A 20,175-nucleotide genomic window follows, 5' to 3' on the forward strand; every position below is an offset into this window, starting at 1 on the left:
TAGGCCAAGCTGGTGTCACAGCGTCCTTAGTGGCCAGGCACGGCAGTAATGGTATAGGCCACAGCTAGAGAACGAGGGCAGAAGCTCAGAGAATGGGGTATAGCCATGACATTCGGGTATAAACACTGGTCACTTTCTATTTAGGCTATTCAGTGACTAGTATCTCCGGTTTTCTCAATGGATACTGTGAAAGTCTCAGAACCAAATTCATTATTAGACCCAAATTCACTTCAAAATGTAACAATAACTATACCAAATGGCCTTTTGTGTAGGGCCATATTTCATGAAATAATATAATGTTGCCACTCTAAAAAGGTCAGGCATTGTTTATTAACGATGCCCAAGAATCTCATTAAATCCGGGAGGTGAGGATAACAGGAACTAACACAATGCGTTTGAAGTGATCTGTATACCAGTGAAGGCTGGTCTGGGACCAGAGGAGCAGTTTGGACTTCCCATGGCTACTGCCCTGAAGTCCCCATGCTCTTTGAAGGGCTGTCATCCACTGCTCAGCATCTCTCTTCATTCCATCTGCCATGGGGAAGGCACTGGTTAGATTTACCCAGCCCTCAGATTCCTTCCTCCATCAGAATTTACCCCTTGGTTCATCCTTGGCAAACAAATAAGTGATCCCAGGTGAGAGAAATCGCATTCTGAGAAAAGCAAGGTGATGAGAATTTTCTCCATTAATCTGGGCATGCTCCAATTTGCACTAGGAGCATACATTTGCATGTTGAATTCCAGAAGCCCAATTCGAAGCATATTAGATAAAATAAAATTAATTCTTGTAATCCTCTGTGATCATATTCAAACCGAATATTCTCAGCTTGGCACACAGAACAGGTTTGCCTGCCCGCTTTCCTCTGTACTTTTCTATTAAAATTATTTTCTCAAACACCTGATTGAGTTCTGGCTGCACAAATGGCCCTGGGAGGGGATAGGCTGCTTCCAACCTGCATCCGCTCCCCAAGTAGCTTAAAGCCTGATGGGGGAAGACACCACATGGATAGATCCGGACAGGCAGTTTTACCATAAGAGTTAGAGAAATTCAGAGGACTGAATTCACTGTGATTGGGGTGGATTGAGATGGTTTTGAGCTCTGTTGCGGTCACAGGAGGAAAGACAACATGGAGATGGCAGCAGGCAGATATTCTGACCTTTGTGCAAGTTCAAAACACCTGCATGCTCTTTAGTCTGTACTGCATCCCCTCCTTCCAGGGAGGCTGGCAATGAGAGAGACAGCTCCTTAAGATGAGATGGTTAGCAGCTGAGCCCAGCAGGCCTCAGGGACTTGAAAAAAGGCCCACGACCATGAACGATTGGTGGGTGGGTCTCAGAGGGTGACAGCAGTGAGCAGGAGGCTAGCTTACCCTAACTCTCTGCAGAAATCTGTTAGACCCTGGGAAGCAACCTTGACCCCATGGGGTGGTTTGGTTCTTTCTGGCTCCCCCATGAGGAAACCACAGGCTTTTCCTGTGGTTCTGGAGATAGGGTCAGTCACAGACTATGTGGGCTTAGCTTGCCTGGGGGAATCAAATAGACTTTCTGCACACTAGTCTCTAGTGGTCCATGATCCAATGACTGCCCAGTGCTACCAAGGCTTGTATTGGAAAACTGAAGATCTTTTTAAAAAGATGTTCAATTTGTTTGTTGAATGTTTGCTGTGTTCTAGGCACTATGCTCATGAAGCATCTCATTTAATCCTTGCAAGAACCTGATGGAGTGGATTCTAGCATTATTGACAGTTTTTCTAAGAGGAAACCGAAGGCTTAATGAGGACAGGTAACTTGGGGAAGGCTGATGCTTAGGAAGGGTAGTGCCAGGACTCCAGATGTGCCTAACACAGAGCCTATCCTCCCCACCATGCCATCCTGCCTCCCAACAGTAAGCAGGCAATTTGGAAGCGTGTTCAGAGCCTATGGTATCTTCCTGCCTGCCCTGCCTTCCCAGAGCACAGGCCCTGCTCTCACTCTCTCTTCTGCTACTCTCCTCACCTCCCTACCTCAGAAGCACTCCTGAAAGGAAGCACACAAGAAGAGAGGCAGGCACACTGTGTCCTGGGCCCAGGGACAGGTGACCTTTCCAATTCAGCACCTTTATAAAACTTACCTAATGAAGTTAAGAGGAAAAAGGAATTAATGAATAAACGAAGGTTAAATCACTCCCTGCAGAAAATTGATGCTGACAGCAAGGGCCAAGAAGAGAGCTTGGGAAGCAGGGAGCTGACTTGCACAAGAGGCTTTTAAAACTCCTTTCTCCAAATTTGAGGGAGGCATAAGGCTTGCCAATTCCAACATGGGCAATGAAAACTTTGGGAAGTCCAAGGAGATGGCCTGAAGAAAATGGAGTGAGAAAGCCATACTCTACCTTGGATGATTGTTTTTGCAGAAGCTGATTTGGGTATGATACACATATGTGTGCATGTACACACACATACATACACATACTCCTTTTATTTACTCACAACCAGTAAATAAAAGGTCACATTTATGCTGTATACACCATTAACTCCTGCAGCCAATCAAGACATAGTTTGGGTCTGCCTGGCTCATTCCTGGCCTTCCAGGGACCAATGTGGCATGTCTTCTTGTCAGCACACACTTGTTAGCCTCCTGTCTCCTTGTCACCACTACAATTGTCCCTATTCCCAACAGCCACCCTCCACTTCCCGAGGTGCACACCTCAGTCCAATTGGCTCAGAGGAGCTGCAGAGAAATGCATGGCTGGTCCCAGGGAGAAAGAGAAGGAAAAGCAGAAATAGCTGCTGGCCATGGCCAGCCAGCCGGGCTGGGAGCTGATGTAGGGAGTAGAAGAGGATGAAGGGAAAAGGATGAAAACAACCTGGTAAAGCTCAAAAAGTTGGATGAGGGGCCAAGAGAGAGAGTATGCTGCTGACTTACGGAGTAACTCCGGGGCAGCCACTCGCTAGCCTCAAGCTCAGTTTAGCTGCTCAGTAAAACGGGGTGAGAAGAAGAGGCCTGCAGGAGAGAATCTGCAGTAGAAATCCCCCCTGGCGGGAGCAGCGAGTAGGGAAGATCAATAGCTCTGACTGCCCCTCCTCTCTGTGCCCACAGGTTTTTAGGAATCTGATCATGAAGACAGGCAGGCTCCGAGGGCCCAGCACAGCCTGCCCATCTTGCAGCATGATTCTGCCTGGGAGTCAGGGAACCCACACTGGCTGATGGAGGGCTGGGAGAGCTGCGGGGAGCCTGAGGGGCGGGCAGAGAGATCCGGAGCCAAGAACTGACTAGATCAACCAGTAAATAAAAGGTCACAATGATTTTTCCAGGCACCCAGGGAGAAGCAGACAAGAGAGCCCAGCTGACGGCAGGAGCTGACAACTGGCAAATGAGCCTCCACAGTTATCTGTTTTCCTTCCTTATTCTTGTCTCATAAGACAGAGGCTAGAAATAGATGCAACTGGCAGATGACTTAAGGATGAAAAATGGGCAACGTGTTAGTTGTGGGGGACTCCATGGTAGTGAAAGAGGGAGATTACCTTGGAGGCAGGGAGAAAACACAGGGCTTAGCTAGAGCCATGGCTGAGGGTTTGGCTCTCACACTGTCCCAGGCATTGTATAGGGATTTCACCTTCTCAGCAGTCCTATCAGGTAGGTATTATTGTTATCCCCACTTTACAGAAGACAAGACCAAGGCTTAGAGAGGATACGCTAGGCCATATCAAAGAGTGATAGAGCCAAGATTTGAATACAATTCTAATTGCCTCCCAAGATGAGGCCTTACAGTAAACTAGAATGCCTCCTTTTCATAGATATTTTCCTTTGTTTCCTTTTTCCCCCTCCTCTCTTTCTTCCTAAGCTCCAACAAGTGTTTCCTGTTTCTTTCTTTTTTTTTTTTTTTTTTTTTTTTGGGATGGAGTCTCTCTCTGTCCCCCAGGCTGGAGTGCAGTGGAGCGATCTCGGCTCCCTGCAAGCTCCATCTCCAGGGTTCACACCATTCTCCTGCCTCAGCCTCCCGAGTAGCTGGGACTACAGGTGACCGCCACCATGCCTGGCTAATTTTTTGTATTTTTAGTAGAGACGGGGTTTCACCGTGTTAGCCAGGATGGTCTCCTGACCTCGTGATCCACCCGCCTCAGCCTCGCAAAGTGCTGGGATTACAGGCGTGAGCCACTGCGCCCAGCCCTAGTGTTTCTTGAGTACCTACTAAGTACCAAATGCTGTGGTATCTCTTGGGGAGACAGAAGCAGCCCAGACAGGCAAGGTCTCTGCCTGTAATAAATGCTGCAGAAATGATACAATGAATGCCTGAAATGGGTGCACTATCTCATTTCCTTTATCCTCTTTCCATGAACCTGGGATGGGCAGAGATCTTCCTTGCTGTACAGTCAGAGAAATGGCTGTCCTGAGGGGAGGGGATTGGCAAGGTTACAACGGGCTTCAGCACTGGAGCTCTGCCAGAGCTAGCATCTTTTTTCCTGATGATGTTACTTAGATACAGGGTATGTCCAGAGGACCTGCTGGTGAGCTTGCCACAGAGAGCACCAGGGGCTGGGTGCATGATGGCTTCCTACCAAGTTCTATGTTGTAGCAGCTGGGGCTGGGGGAATCCCTCTTAGGAAAGGTGGGTGGATTGAGCCCCCCTGAAGGCTGCTCACCTGCATGCTGCAGAAATTCTGTGAGGATGGATGCCTCCTAATCCTTGCCTTCAGCTCTGCCAGTATCAAGTTTTGGGAAATAGTCCTTGAATATACCAAACTCTCTCACACTCCCAAGCTTTCCTTAACTTGAACAATATTTCTTTGCTTTTTTATTCCACTGGGTGAGCCCCTCCCCTCTCACGATTCACCTAGAGCATCACCTCCTCCAGGAAGCCTTCCTTGACTCACAGGCTATATTGGGTGGTGCCCTCTCCTGTAATCCCAGCACTCTGCATACTGTATTGTAACTCACTACTTACTTGTCTATTTTCCATATGTATGTGTGATAGTGCAAGGATAAGCTCTTTGCTGTGAGCACAGTTGGTCCTCAAAGGCTGTTTGATGAGCTATTTAATGGCTAAGTGGCTAGAACATTTTTTTCATCTCAGTTCATTCTTCCCTCTCCTGTCTTCCTTCTACCTGGCTTGCATCTCTGCCCACCTCTTTCTTATAATTAAATATTAGTTGAGGGACAGAGGCTGAACCCAGACTGTTTGCTAAGTCACCAACAGCTGATGACACAGTCAGCCTTCTCATCACCTGGTGGGAGTTTCAAACCCCAACCTGTTTGCAAGGTGGGGACCAGTCATAACTGGGGGGAACAAGGTGAGGTGAGGGAGGTAACTTGAGGCACAGTGGCAAAGGCTCAGGGAACTTAACCACAAGGCATGCACTCTATGAAGTGGAGATTGCGGCTGAAAAGCTGAGTCCCTGAGCTGGCCTGCTACAGAAAGATCAAAGGGCCAGCTGGAAATGCAGCCAAGCTGGGCTCTAAAAACAGTGTAAAGCTGGGAGGAGAAGGGCTTGAACACACATTTCCCCCAGTGGGTACATGCAATGGCATATGAAAGAGCCTAACACTAACATAGTGAAGACACTAACACTAACATAGTGTAGACACTAACACCCCCAGAACACACAGGAACGTTTGCTCTCATCTCACTCACCAACCCCACCAACTTCTGTTCTCACAAGCACATGCATACTCGAACCCAGGTCAGCCTCCGAGCGCTGTGCACACAGCCTCCATTCCATACACATTCATGGCTAGAAGGAATGCACCCAATGTCATTGCCGCAAGGGGCATTCAAACACATTTTATCAATGGGGAAAATGAGGCTCCAGTTGACCTTGACTCAGATGTGTGGTGAGTGACTCTTGATGATTGGCACAGGCAGACTCTTACCTACTCCTCCCCGGCCACTCTCCCATCACCCCTCTGCCATCCTGCCACCTCCCTCCCGCAACAAACTCCCTGGCAGTTCAAAGTTGGATTCCAAATTTTGTCCCTAGGATCAACCCCATTGAGAAACCTTATCTGACAGACAGCATGTGCCAGTGGCTGGCCAGAACTCACAGGTGGTGAGAAAAAGCCCCCCACATATTTCTGTAAATGAGTACAGCTGGTCACTTCTGGCTGAGGAGTTCAGAGGCCTTCACTAAAGAAATCAAAAAGTGGTGGTCAGCTTCCCACTTCATGGGAACCCTGTGTTCACAAAGATGTCCCTGGATAAAAGGCCTGAGAGGAGCTGTTCAAGCCTGAACCATTTGTATGAGAAATCTGCTGGGGTGGAGACCAACACCTTTCCCCTCCCTCAGGGGCACCCAGAGCCCTGGCCCACATACAGAGGGACCTTGCCAAGTCCCGGCCACGCACCCCAGGACTTCCAATTGCGCTTGTCTCCAGGGGTTCACTGACTTCCCCTTTGCCTCTGCCCCTCTTCCTGATGCATGGTGCCGCTCTCGACACCTCTGAACCTGCATCTTCACACTACAGAAACCGTCCTAGTCATCAGTGGATGGCAGTAACTTTTCATGACGGCTCCTCTGATGTTGCCATCTTTCGTGTTGATCAAAACAACAAAACGAATCAGACTCTCGGCATCTGATTGAAGCCTAATTGGAAATCCAAAGTGGCACTAAATGTTATGGTCTAAATAAAACACATTCAATTACTGAAACTCAACGCAGGGAACACAAGGGAGCGCTCCTGGAAGGAGCTGAAAAGCAGGCTGCAGAGCTCTGGGGTGTCATTCCGGGGCCCCCTGTGTCTGGCTGGATAAGACTTAAGATGGGGAACACAGGAGGCTTTCTTGAGTCTGAGAACCTCTTACTTAGGGCCAGGGATTGAGCTGATATGGGTTTGCATGGTTCACACTTGAAACAGCACCAGAGAAGCTGAATCGGGGCTTCAATGCCTCACATGTGTTCTGCAGCTGCCCTCCTTGAAAAGGTTTTTCCTTTGCCAGACCGACGAGCTTTGGATGGGGGTAAGAAAATATGCAGAGGAGTCATGATGTCTCCCGCTGGGGTCTCTGCATGGGCTCTCCTGGTGCTAGGGGAGGGCGAGCAGTCCAGGAGCTTTGCAGCCACACAGACAGGCTCCTCACTCCCGGCTATGCCTCCTAAAAGTCATAGACACACCTAGCTCAGATCCCTCAACATTGCTGCACCTGGCCTTCCTCATTTGTCAAACGGGGGAGATAATACCTGTCTTCCCAGGTTCTTGTGAAGAGGGGAGATCATGCTCGTGAGGCGCTTGGCTGGCTGCGCAGGAGAAACTCCGCGGTAACTTCCTGGGGCGAGGTGCTTTTTCTCCCTGCATTCTGACCACCTGCAGAGGCATTTCCCCTGACTGTCCATGTAGGGCCCGGGGCAGTGCTTGCTTTCCTTTATTGGTTTTTTAAACTAAACAGTGCACTACTCCAATCTCCTTGAAGGTGTCAAATGAGGAGTTACTGAGTCTGTGCTGGCCTCCTGGAGCCCAGAAAGCCGCCTCTGAACCCTTTTCCTAACTGGGAGCCGGGTGTGGGGAGAGCAGGAGGGGAGGAGCCTTCTGCAGCCACAGGGCAGCCAGGGGGCGCTGTCTCAGGAAGCTGAAGAGGTGTGGATTTGGCTTCAGAGGTGTGGGGTGGAGTCCCAGCCCTGCTGTTGGACAGCTTGGTGGCCCTGGGCAAATTACTTAGTCAGTTTGAATTTCAGTTTTGTTATCTGTTAAAAAAAGGCAAGGACAATAATACTTATCTCATAGGACTGGTGTATTAGCTGAGGCCATGTTTGTAAACTAAAATAAGAAAAACACGGCAAAAATATTAGTTAGATTTCAACACAGCTTAAATAAGGTAGGGCTGAGAGGCAAGGCAGGGTGGTTAAGCTTTTTTTAGGTGTGGCTGTTTGCAAAGCATGACCTGCAGGGCTTGGCCTGATGATGATGTATGGGGGCACAACTGTAAAAATATAATTACTACTACTACCATTTACTAAGCGGGTAGTAGGTTCCTGGTACTTTTCAGAGTGCTTTTTATGCATTAATTAATTTAATCTTCAAACAGATGCCATAATTATGCCCATTTTACAGGTGAGGTAACTGAAGCACAGAAAGGTGAAGCAACTTGCCCAAGGTCACATGGCAGTAAGCAGTAGAGCCAGGGCTTGAACCCAGGCTGGCTGCTCCCCATGGCTGTCAGGAAACTACTGATAGTCAATCATTGTCTGCTTCTCCACATTCGGCTTGGTATACCCTTTCTTCTCCGGAGTCACTGCCCCCTCAGACCTCTCATCTCCTCTTCTGTAAAATAAAGGGCTGCTCTTCACTAGAGAATCTCTGGATAAACCAGCTCTGGATTCTTGTGTTAGGGAGAGGGTGAGTCCCCCGAGTGACCCCAATTAGGGAGGGAACCAGGACAGGTCCCTTCCTGGTGGTATGCGTTTATGAGTTACTTTAATCATTGAATACATAGTACATCTCTTCTACAGCATTGCTCTGATGTACAAATAAATAACCTTATCTTGTGATTTATCTATACATCATTGCGCTTCTCCAGAATTTGACCACCTTGAGGGCAGGGATTCTATTTTATTTTTTGCTATACAAAAGCATACGTAATAGTGCTATTGTTGCATTGAAAACAGCAAAAAGAAATCAAGAAGGTACTTATCTTCCTGGCAGCCCTATTTAGAAGGAGACTTTTGCTGGAATATTACTTAGAAAGACAGCCCTATCTATATCTACATATGCAAATGACTTGTCAGTGGACAGCTCTATGCATTATACATGGTCAACACTTAATGGTCTATTGAATGAATGAGTCTGCATATGCAAACAATATGCAAATCTTTCCCTATTTTAATTTGACCCTTCGGAACATCTTCAGGAACTCTCTTGGGCCTAGGTTGTTTTAATGTTGCTAATTAAAAGTTTTTAAACACAGTGTTCACTCTTGTCTGTGCTGAGTGAAACTGTTGTCAAGTTGGGAAAGGATGCTGGGCTAGACCAGGTTACTCAGGATTTACCCTGATTCTTCTGGTAATTCAGATGATGGCCTAGGCAAATGACTTTCCTCTCTGGAGGCATCAGTTTCCCCATATTTAAAAGAATGAAGGAGGGTAAGTTTCCTTCTGGTGAGACACTGTAACTTCCCATCTCCTGGTCATAGGAACATGATTCTGGGCAGTCAGTGTCATCCTTCAGCAATACCTATCTAGAAAGAAAAATCAAATCCCTCATCAAGGATTAGAGAGTCTCCAACCCCCTTGCCCATTTAGAGAAATGAGGTTTTTGGCACCACTTCTCCCAGCCTGGGCATTGTATTCAATCATTTCTTTCCAAACCAAAGGATTTCAAAATAAGAGGCTGGAGTTTTCTCTCTTAAATACAGCAAGCCAAGTGTCTGATTAATAGGGTGGGTTTGCATTGCCTTTCCCTCATGTGAAAATATTTATTTAAAAAAAATACTCCGATGAGAATATTAATAGCCAGAGAATCAGCTCCCTATCAGCCTCTTTGTTCCTTGACATTTGAAATGGGGGAAAGAAAGAGGAAAAAATCAAAACCCGGGTTTGAGGTGGTCATTGTTGCCTGCACCCACAGCCCCGGGAGGTGGGAGGCAGGACTCCGCCCTTTCTTTGGGAAAGGCACTGATGTGAGTGCTCAGCTCCTGGGCCACACTGGGGTCCTGCATCCTTAACCAGAAACACATGTGCATCAAAGCCTTGGATTGAAAGTGACACATTTTAAAACAAAAGTGCAGCAGCAATTCGCTTATCCTCACTTTCCTAATCCGCAAACTCTGTAATTCTCCCCAAAGTCCCTCAGGCTCAACTCTCCTCCCTGCCCCCTCACATTCCCTCCTCCCCAGAGGCTCAGCCAAGGCCTCCCAGCCCAGGCAGAAGGGAGGTCTCCTGTTACTGAGTCCTTGCCCGCCTTGTAAAAATACACCTTGGCATGCTCTGCCTGCACCCTGGGAAGCCTTATCGCCTGGACTAAACAAATGTGCACAATCAAAATAATAGTCTGAGATGTCAAAATAAATGAGCAGGGGACATCTGGAAGTGTGACTCCCCACGTTTTTTCTTTCCCTTCCCCAAGGTCTTTAGGTGCCTTAGGGACTTAACAGTTCAGTAGCTTTGGCTACAGGTAGAAGACTTACTGCCCCATGTATCACAATAGCACCTCTGAAAAGGATTCTTATTTTTGGTTCTAGATCCGGGTTAGTAGTTGACAGGGCCTCCTCCAAATGGAGGAAACCACAATTAGTTTTCTGGTGCAGCTGCTGGACATTGGTGGATGGTATGCTAAGGGTCTGGCCTGTCCTTCCATCTCTCCCCAGATACTGCGTAGGGTCTTCAAACAATGCAGAGAATTTCTTAGGGGGTGGTGGGGGGTCTCTCCTGCATTTAAGACCTTCAGGAAAGGGTGGCTTTACAATCTTTCCAAATAATTTTTGTTTCTGAAACTCCAAGCTGACAGTCTCCTTGCCCCAACTCTTTTAAATTACGTTAAACAGATGTGGTTAAAAAGCCAGTTTCCTGTAATCCATGGGGATGAGGTCCCACTCCCCCACATACTGAAGGTAAGTCACTGAGAGGCCTGCTCCTGTGCAAGATGAGACAATATTGCCACAGGAAGACTGCCTGGAGAGCTATTTATAAGCAGCATACCCTCCATGGGAAAATTTCCAGGCAGTGTGATCCTGCTACTGATGGATTCCTGCAAACCCTTCCTGAAAGCATTTTCAGGGCCCACAGGCATTTGATAGACCTCAGGTAGGACTTACACAACCTTCAGCAAATCAACAGCAAGCTTTAAAGTTGTCAGTACTTCCCCACATGTTTGAAGAAATCAGTCCAGCTTTGATGACTCCAGCTGGGCGTTGGGTGTTGCACAATGCTGATGGGGCAGCTAAACAGGGTGCTCTCTGGGCCTCGTCTTTCTTATCTGGGGTCAGAATGGGTGCTCTCTACAGTCCTTACCAGCTCTGATGCTCTGTGATTCCATGACCTTGGTAGCTGGGGAATCATGTTCTTAATGTGTGTTCATGGACCACACGCATCAGAATCACATGGGTGTTGGGCAGCAGAGGGAAGAGGCAAGCAGACCGACTGCGTGACTGCCAAAGCCAAGTCACAAAAAGGCGATGCAATTTCTACCTCATTATAGGGAGTACTCACTCTTGGAGTCCTCAGCTGCCACAAGCAAGAATTCTGACTGTCTTGGGGGCCGCCTGCTGTCAGGAAGCCCAACACACATGGCAGGGACTTGTCTAAGGCACTGTGGTCAACAGTCCCAACTGATCCCAGCTTCCACTTCCCAGACATGTAGGGGGAGAAGCTTCCAAATGATTCTAGCCCCTTGTCCTTCTAGTCAGTCCCAGCCATTTGTGTCATCCTAGCAGAGGCTGCAGACATTATAGAATAGAGATGAGCCGTCTTCAGTGCACCGTATCTGAATTCCTGACTTACACAGTCTTTGAGCATAATAAAATGTGTTTTTAAAAATATCCCCAAACCTGGGGGTGGTTTGTTACAAAGCAGTAAATAACCAGAACAGTGTGCCAACTACTAGTACATCTAGGACATTCGGAACTGGGGTCTGAATGTTCACTACCTGGAGAGTGGCAGACCCATCTTTCACAATGAGCGTGAGACTTTGTTACTTACGTGGAGAAACCAGAAATGAAAAGCCCCATAGGTATTCCCTTTCTGGCCCGGTGTCCATGCATGCAGCCCCAGGCTCACAGGTTCCTCCTCCCTTCTCTCCACAGATGCCTGCTATCCTGGCCTTCTGGCCTCACACATCGGCCTGGGGCTGCCTGCCTGTATATTGAGGGGAGCGGGACTGTTTAGTCTGCCAGGCACATTCCTGGATTTTTAAAATAAATACCAGATTATGGGAGACTCAGCTCAGTGCTGTCATTTGGCCAGGCCAGAGGCTTCTGAGGCAGCGCTTGGGAGTAAGCAGGAGGAATGGCAGTTGGAGGCCACTGCCTGAAACTGGGAACTCTGTGCCAGCCATAATTTGTGGTGGAGATGTTTCTAGCCCTTTCTGAAGTTCCAAAGAAGTTCTAAGACTACTACTAGTAATAATAATTACCACCACCTTTTGAAAACACTATGTGTCAGACATGATGCTGGGTGATTTATATGCATTCTCTCAATCCTCACAACAATTGCATTAGGCCCATTACACAGATGATCAAACTGAGGTTTAGAGAAGTTGAATAACATTATCAAAACCATATACTTAGTAAGTGTCTATGGAATGGAGGTTGGCCTGACTCCCACGGGCCAGCTCTTAACATCTATGCTATTTTGCCTCTCCAGGCCTTGAAGTAGAGAACAGAATCCCATGCCCCAGCACCCACTCCAAACACACACACCCATCACCATCCTTTCTGCTGTTCCCAAGGCCCTTTCCAGTCTGTACGGAGCCATTCTCCACTGTGACTCCCTTTTTCCATTTCACCCTTCGCTGGATCATTTCATGCCTCTATTCCCTCTGCTAATGCAAACTAATTAAAGTATAAAATAGAATAATTGCTTCCATCCCTATACTCTTTTCCCATCCACCCTGTGTATAGATTTATACTCCTTTTCTAGGAGTGGCCAGCCTGACAAGTTGGGTGAAAACTGGGGCTATCAAGTTTCTTTTCATCTTGTTGCTTGGTTTTTCACTTGGCTCATAGCCTGATTTTCCCTTGACTCGCTGTCTGACTTCCATTACACACTGAGGATATGGGAGCAACTTGTATGCATGCCCATAACATCTGCTGATTCGCTGTCAGTGAAGCTGGGGCAGACTTTCTAGGAAAGAGCCAGGCATCCTCTCAGTGGAGCACCTGGGCAATTAATAGGATTGGGGAATCAGTTCCCAAATTTTCCCCTGGGACTGGCCGGTCTTAGATCTATTAACAGTACATTACCATTGACTTGTTAGGCAGTGACACTAACGACCCAACACTTACTAGTCCTATTTCTTAATTACATTTAATTAATTAATTGAGAGTGAAAGAGAATACATGAGTGCTATATTGGATTGTTCTAGCTCTGTGGGGAGATGAAAACCTCTCTAGGCAGAATGTAAGACCAGAGACTTGGTTTTACTCTCACTATGTGTTCCACTCTCACGGCCCCAAGAATATTACATGTGTCATGTTTGGAGGATGGGTGGGGGAACAGAGAGGCAAGGGTTGGGGCAGGGTGGAAGACAGGGATGAGAGTAGGTTGCCCAGAGATTTGTTTTAGAGCGAAATGATGAAAAACCCATTCCCATGATATCTTAAAAGGTCTCAGGACTTTTAGAGAACTTGAAAGTCTTAAATTGCTGTCTCAAAGTAGGAAAATAGACAACTTACGATGATTCAACTTATGGTTTTTTTACTTTACAGTGGTGTGAAAGCAATACACATTCAGTAGAAATTGTACTTCAAGTATCCATGCAGCCACTCTCTCCTTCACCTTCAGTACACTCTTCAATTCATTACATGAGATATTCAACACTTAATTATAAAGTTGGCTTCGTGTTAGATGATTTTGCCCAACTGTAGGTGAAGATAAGTGTTCTGAGCATGTTTAAGGTAGGTGAGGCTAAGCTATGAGCTTGGGAGGTTAGGTGTATTAAACATGTATTTGACTTACAATATTTCCAACCTACAATGGCTTGAGTAGGAGGCAACCCCATCATAAGTCGAGAGCATGTGTACATATCCATAACCAAACCAGCATTCCAGCTTTCTCTACAATGTTGACCCTTCAGCGAAGATGCTCATATGAGCACATGTGGCCTCATAAATCTCTCCTTAAGAACATTATGCTGACCGGGCGCAGTGGCGCACGCTTGTAATCCCAGGACTTTGGGAGGCCGAGGTGGACGGATCCCTTGAGCCCAAGAGTTCGAGACCAGCCTGGGCAACATGGTGAAACCCCATCTCTATTTCCATAAAAAAAATTTTAAATTGCTCTGGCATGGTGGTTCATGCCTGTAATCCCAGCACTTTGGGAGGCCAAGGCAGGTGGATCACTTGAGGTCAGGAGTTTGAGAGCAACCTGGCCAACATGGCAAAACCCCGGCTCTACTAAAAATACAAAAATTAGCTGTGTGTGGTGGCATGTACCTGTAATCCCAGCAACTCAGGAGGCTGAGGCAGAAGAATCGCTTTAACCCAGGAGGCGGAGGTTGCAGTGAGCCAAGGTCATGCCACTGCACCACAGCCTGGGTGACAGGGCAATAGTGAGACTCTGTCTCAAAAACAAAACAAAACAAAATAAAAAATTTTAAAATTAAAAATTGAAAAAGAGAACACTGCTTTTGGTTTAGTCTCAGGCCCATCTTTTGTGCTTTTGGTATCATCTTCTGGAGAGAGACAGAGCAGAGTCCCAATCCTAGGACCTTAAACAAATTTCTATAAGATCTGAAAGAGACTTTAGAGTTAGATTTATAATCTCCATCTTTACAGATGAGGAAACTGAGACTCTGAGAAGTTGAGGGCCCAGGTTACCCTTGAAGTCAGAGATGGGGCCAGGCCTAGAACACAGATCTCCTGGCTCAGGCTGAGGATGACTGGGTGTGTCATGTCCCCCTGCCCCCTCTTCATCACACACCATCTCTATACTCCTGAGAAATGGGATCATGAGGCATGAGAGCTAGAATGGGCCATATAGAATGTGGCATGTGGGGCAGTATAAAAAGAAATTCCCCCTTTATTGTCTCAGCTGAGCCTCACACTGACCTTGTGTGAGAAACACTGAGGTTAAGTGACTTGTGCAAGGCCATTCAGATAGAGAATGGTGAAATGAAGTCCAAATCATACCCATGGACTTCAGATATGGTGTTATCTGATGCAACTCCTCTCAGCTATAAAAGAGGAACCAAAGCTGTCAGAGGATTCTACTATCAGTGATAACACAAGCTGGACTAGAACCCAGGACATCTGACTTCATTTTGACAGATTATTCTCCTGCCACACATTCAACTGCTTCCTTGGAGACATCTGAGCTGTCTGTGAGTACTTAACTCACAGCCGGCCTCAGACAGATGGGCCTCCTGAGCTGTTCTTGGCTTTCAGCTTTGGACTGAGCCCCTGGTGAAGTCACCTGGCTACCTATTTCTACACAATTTACGGCTCTCCAGGTGACAGGCCTCAGAGCTCCACCACAAATCCCCCTCAGACTTTGCCTCGTAATCACAGCTCCATCTGGTACAGGGAGCTCCCCCTACTAATATTTCACTTGACCAGAGGCAGCCCATGGCATGAAACCCAAATTCTTCCTATCTCTGCTCATCGTGGCTGGCTACTGCTAAACCCCTCTGTTTGGTGTAGACTGTAACAAGAACTGGGTACCTGAAGCAGAAGGTGGGACAGAGGAGGGGTATTTACAGATAAGCTGTGTGGACACTTGGTGTGGCCAGGCTGATGGTCTCAGAGATGGCATCAGATATGGATCTAGGAGGTGATTATATTCTCTGAAACCCACTCATCTGCCTCCAGCCCTGACCCAGCCCCTCTTCTTTGGATACATTTTGAATGCATTTTCAGAAAGCGTTTCATTGGATAAAAAGATATGCAGCTAAAATATATGCCTTGGTACCTTCTCGGTCCCACTAAGGTCTCATTGGTCACTTCTTCCTTCCCACTTTGCTGGGCTCAGAGAATCTAAGAAAGAGCTCTTACCCAGAGCTACCCGCCTGGTCCTCTGCTACACACAGTGCCTCTTGAAAACATTGCATAAAATGTGAGTCTATTTAACCTCTGCTCATCGTTTTATCCACCAATATAGGTTGTCATCTATCTACCTGTCCTTTTTTCTGTATCTATATCTGCATAAGTGCCTGGAATGGTGCTCATCAAATGTTAACATGGTGTTATATTTTGGGTAGTGAGATTTGGTGACCTTCTGCTGTTTTCTTTTCTGTATGCATTGCTTGAATTTGTATAACAAGCGTCCACAATTTTTATTAAACAAATAATGTTTTCCCTTAAAGAAGAACAGGATAAAAGAGCATGTATAGAATTCAATCTGATGTTATTAGGCTATTTGGGTACCTGTCTCTCTCTTGTTAGATTGCAATCAACTTAAGGTAGTGGCTAAGTCTCATTCATTTTGATGATTCCCAGCACTTTGTTCCCAATAAATATGTGCCCAGGAATAGTTCTTTTTAGGCCCACTGACTGTTTCATCGGAATGATAGGTCAGTGTTTATTTCCAAGACTGTCTTACCCACTCTAGGTTAGGCAAAGCTGTCTACAGATCCACAAAATTCCCATCTGGACCTGTTTATACTTCAACGGCAGAGGCCACATGAAAGAAGGTGAAAAAGACAGGTGGGTTCAAGAGGATCTGGATATAATTGGCATGCAATTATCGTATGATTTACGTCATCTGTCCTCAAGAACTAATTTTCAACTCAGAACTGCATCACTGCTTCCCTTAATGCTGTCGTGTGCACACTTATCTCTTCCTTACTTCTTCGCTCATCCCTCATCCCCTGATTCAGACTCCTTTTAAATTAGAAAAGAAAGGAGGTAAGGAGAGCTCTGGAAAGGGTAAGTTTGATCAAGGACACCTGGAACTCTTGCAGAATTCTCTGAGAATGACATGAGCTGGGAAGCAACTTGTGAAAGCTCTCTGGACCTTCAGCTCTACCAGCATCCTTCTCTAGCCTAAGTCAGTGTCCTCAGCTGCTGGGACAGACTGGCAATCCTTTTCCTCATTTCTTTGGCCTTTATTTTACTTACCCTGTTAAGAAAAATGACAAGACCCCTGCTGCTGCTGCTGAACAACTATTAACCCACTGACCGAGTGAATGGAATGTGTCCGGCTTGGCTAAGGTCTTTGCCTAGCTTTCTGGGTCTCTGTCGATCTCATGAATCCCCTGCCTTCCCTGCTTCTCTTTCCCTTCACCATGGCTCTCTCTGCATTTGCCTTCTCTCTACTCACACATATTCACAGGAAATACAGTCTCCATCCATCCCAGAGGGTGGAAGACTTGCTCAGCTGTTTCCCTACAGAGGGTAGAAGTCTATTTCTCAGGGCTTCCCATCTCCATAGGCCTGGTTTCAGCTTCCCAGAGCTGACCAGCTTATACTCTGCACCAGTCTAAGACTCACGCCAAGATTTTTATTTCCTTCTGGGGCCCTGTCTTGGGTCTGCCTCTCCCAGGAGTGGGCCCAGCCCAGAGGCCTGGATTATTTACACCTCTTTGGCTCCCTTGAGCAGCAGACTCTGTGGGCCTGAGAGCAGTAAATCTACCTCCTAATCACACCAAGCTGCTCCACGCAGTCTGGCCTGTTCTTGCAGGGCTGTTCATCACTTACTGAGACAGGGGCTGTGGCCTAGAGTGAAGCCTCCGGGAAGTGGCTGGCCCCCGGCTGCTTCTCTCTAGCTCCCTGCAAAAGCCTACAGGCACTCTGCCTCTCTCAAGACCCCTGTGCTGCAAGCCCAGAGGTCTCTCTTCTTGGACTGAACAGTTTCTGAACAAAGGTGACAGATTATCAGCAGTTTCTTGGAGTTTGGAAAGCAGAGATGGATGTTAGCACTTACCTGTCTCTCAGACATGACGTACAGGTAGCGCTGATCAATGGAGAAGGCCATGTCCCGGAGGATGGGGCTTCCGTCCTTGAGCACAGAGACCATCTCGTACTGGACCCCACCATGGGGGGGACCGTCGGCCCGAATCTGTATGAGAAACAAGGGTGTCCTCAGCATCTGCCCTCAGTATTCCCCTGTGGGCTACCTGCCTCTGCCCAGAGCAGGTAGCTTACAGAAGACCATTGCTAACCCCCAGTCACTACTCCATAGACTGAAGTGCCACTTCTTTTAAACAGCCCAATTTCCACCAAAAGGAATCCTTTCCCAAGCAGTCTGAGTGTTCTGGGCCTGGGATTTCTGACAGTGGATTTATTTGTGTGTGCATATACGCCCTTGGGAATGATTTTGAATATCCCTATGCAGTTATCCTTGTGTGCATGTACATCTATTTATAGCACTGTGTATTGTATGTGTGTGTAAGTGAGTGTGTGCTTATGCACACTCCTTCATGGTGGCTGGGGTGGGAAAGTCAACATCTGTTCACAGTATCTTAGCCTCAGACAAGTATGAAGGAATGGTGAACAATTTATATAAATCATCAAAAAGCTGCTCATTAAGAGATTAAAGATTTTTGGATCCCAGGAGGGTCTTTCAGCCCCCAAACATATGCCCTGACTGTCCACAAATCCACCCTGTGAGATGTGGGGAGCCAGGAATCCTGGCTTAGCCTCTCCAAGCCCATCCTAGGAAAATAAGTCAGAAAGGACTGAGATGTCATCTAGTCCAGTGCTTCTCAGCCCTGGCTGCACATTAGAATCATCTGGGGAGCTTTAAAAAATATGAATGCCAGGGCTACATCCATTAATCACAATCTCTGTGGGTGGGGCCCAGGCATCTTCTTCAGCTTAAAAGCTCCCCGGGTGAATTTAATGAGTAGCCAGGGTCGAGGAGCAGCGAGGTAGTCCTGCAGTTCTCACACTAGTGTGTCCTCAGAATCACCTGGAGGGCTTGGTGAATGCACTGCGAGGCCCACCTCCAGAATTTCTGATTCAGTGGGCATGAGGGCTGAGAATGTACATTTCTAACAAATTCCCCAGCTGATGCTGATGCTGTTACTATAAGGGTTTGAAAAGTACTATCTAGGCCCTTATGTTCAATGCTGACCTCAAAGAAAAGAGGTCCCTAAGGTCATACAAAAAGTTGGTGGCAAGGAGCCCTTGGTCTGAATGTGCCCCATCCCCAGTTTTTCTAGTTGTTAGTTTTCTAGTTTTCTAGTAGCTGACTCCTGACCAATATTCATGACCCCAGCCTGTTTTCACTGTCCTCTGCCCATCTCTAGCTCAAGCCCCACCTCCTCCATGAAGCCTTCCCCATCCTCTCTAATGGCTAATTAATTGCTCCCACTTTGATGCCTTTTTTTTTTGCCAGACATTTTGTCCTAGGATAATCAATTGATTTGTTCATTGTATATATACTAGCTAACATGTATTGACTACCTACTCGAATTGTTCTCTAATTGCTTCAGATGTGCGTAAGTCCTGTCAACATTTTGAAGGCAGGGATATCTTTTCTATTTATCTTATAACCCTCTGAGGACTAGCATGCGACTGGGAACATAGCCGGCAACGGATAAAAGGGAATGCTTGTGAAATGCTTGTTGAAAGAGCGTGAACTGTGCACCAACTGACAGCATATCCTAGACTCCTTAGGGCTGAATCAAAGTGAGGTCAAAAGACATTTTCCCTGGAAGATTTTAAGATTAAGGCTTCTTCTCCCTTACACCCTTTGGATTCTCTCTTGGGCCCTTCATCATCTTCTCCCTCTGCCTGTTTCTCCCTACACCACACTGAGAGCTCCTCAGGCCAAGGCACCATGACTTATTCATCCCAAGTGCCAAGTTCAATGCCTGATGCCACAACAAGTACACTAGCATGGATGGATGGATGGATGTGTTTTCAGTTCTTATTGGCCGAGTGGGGAAGGTCAACAGCACTATTGATTGCAGAGCTAGGGGAGTGGGAGAAGAGCTTCCATTCCTATTTCTCTACTGTCCTGAGAATCTGCATCCTTGAGGAGCTTGAACCAGGGCTTGGTCTGTACCTGTTGGGTTGGGATGGACTCGATGTACATGGGAAACAGACCATGAGTCCATCGTGGGGTGGGAAGCTCTGGCCCGGGGGTCCCCGGTGGTAGAAACAGCAGATTCTTGCCTGAGGCCCTTGTGCTATACCCCACGGATGAAAATGGTAGGTCAGGGTCTAGAGGCAAGGACACCATGTTCTCCTCCTCACCTGCTTTGCTGGGCGACTTGGGGGCTTCTGGGCCTGAACTTAAGGAGGTAACCTCAATGGAACCAAATAAACTCTTCTCACCCATTCCTGTGCCTCATCACTCCCCTTGTGGGACTTTCCCCTATGCTCCGCTCTTGCCCTCTTTCTCCCTAGTGAATGGGCTTCCTGCTGTTCAAGGCTGTTGCCTTGTCATCTATCAGTAAAGCCCCTCCTTCCAGAAATGTTGTTAGAAGCCCATTTGTTTCATTTTCACAGGGTCAAGGGGATTCTAAGAGTCAGCAATGGTGTTACACGGCTGAGACCACCAGCCTGTAACCTGGAGCAATTCTGATGATGAGATTCAAGCAGAAGGAAGAATAAGAGTCTCTGTGTGGGAAAATGCCCCACAGTTAAAATGGTTCTCCTTGACATTCAAAG

General features: G+C 47.1%; 1 protein-coding gene and 1 long non-coding RNA gene across 4 annotated transcripts in view; one reads left to right on the forward strand and one right to left on the reverse strand.

The window, feature by feature from the left end:
• The window catches only part of PLXNA2 (plexin A2), a 222,143-nt gene that overhangs the window by 102,608 nt on the left and 99,360 nt on the right, over positions 1-20,175 (reverse strand). For all 3 annotated transcript variants that reach the window (NM_025179.4, XM_005273164.4, XM_005273165.5), the window contains exon 4: positions 17,480-17,614. In NM_025179.4, the coding sequence (NP_079455.3) occupies positions 17,480-17,614 (135 nt within the window). The remainder of the gene's footprint in view (positions 1-17,479; positions 17,615-20,175) is intronic.
• LOC124904500 (uncharacterized) lies at positions 1,673-8,892 on the forward strand. The gene is made up of 2 exons (XR_007066851.1): positions 1,673-1,782; positions 3,075-8,892. It is a non-coding gene; the product is annotated as an uncharacterized LOC124904500 (long non-coding RNA).

This window comes from Homo sapiens, chromosome 1, assembly GCF_000001405.40.
Source record: "Homo sapiens chromosome 1, GRCh38.p14 Primary Assembly".
NCBI lineage: Eukaryota > Metazoa > Chordata > Mammalia > Primates > Hominidae > Homo > Homo sapiens.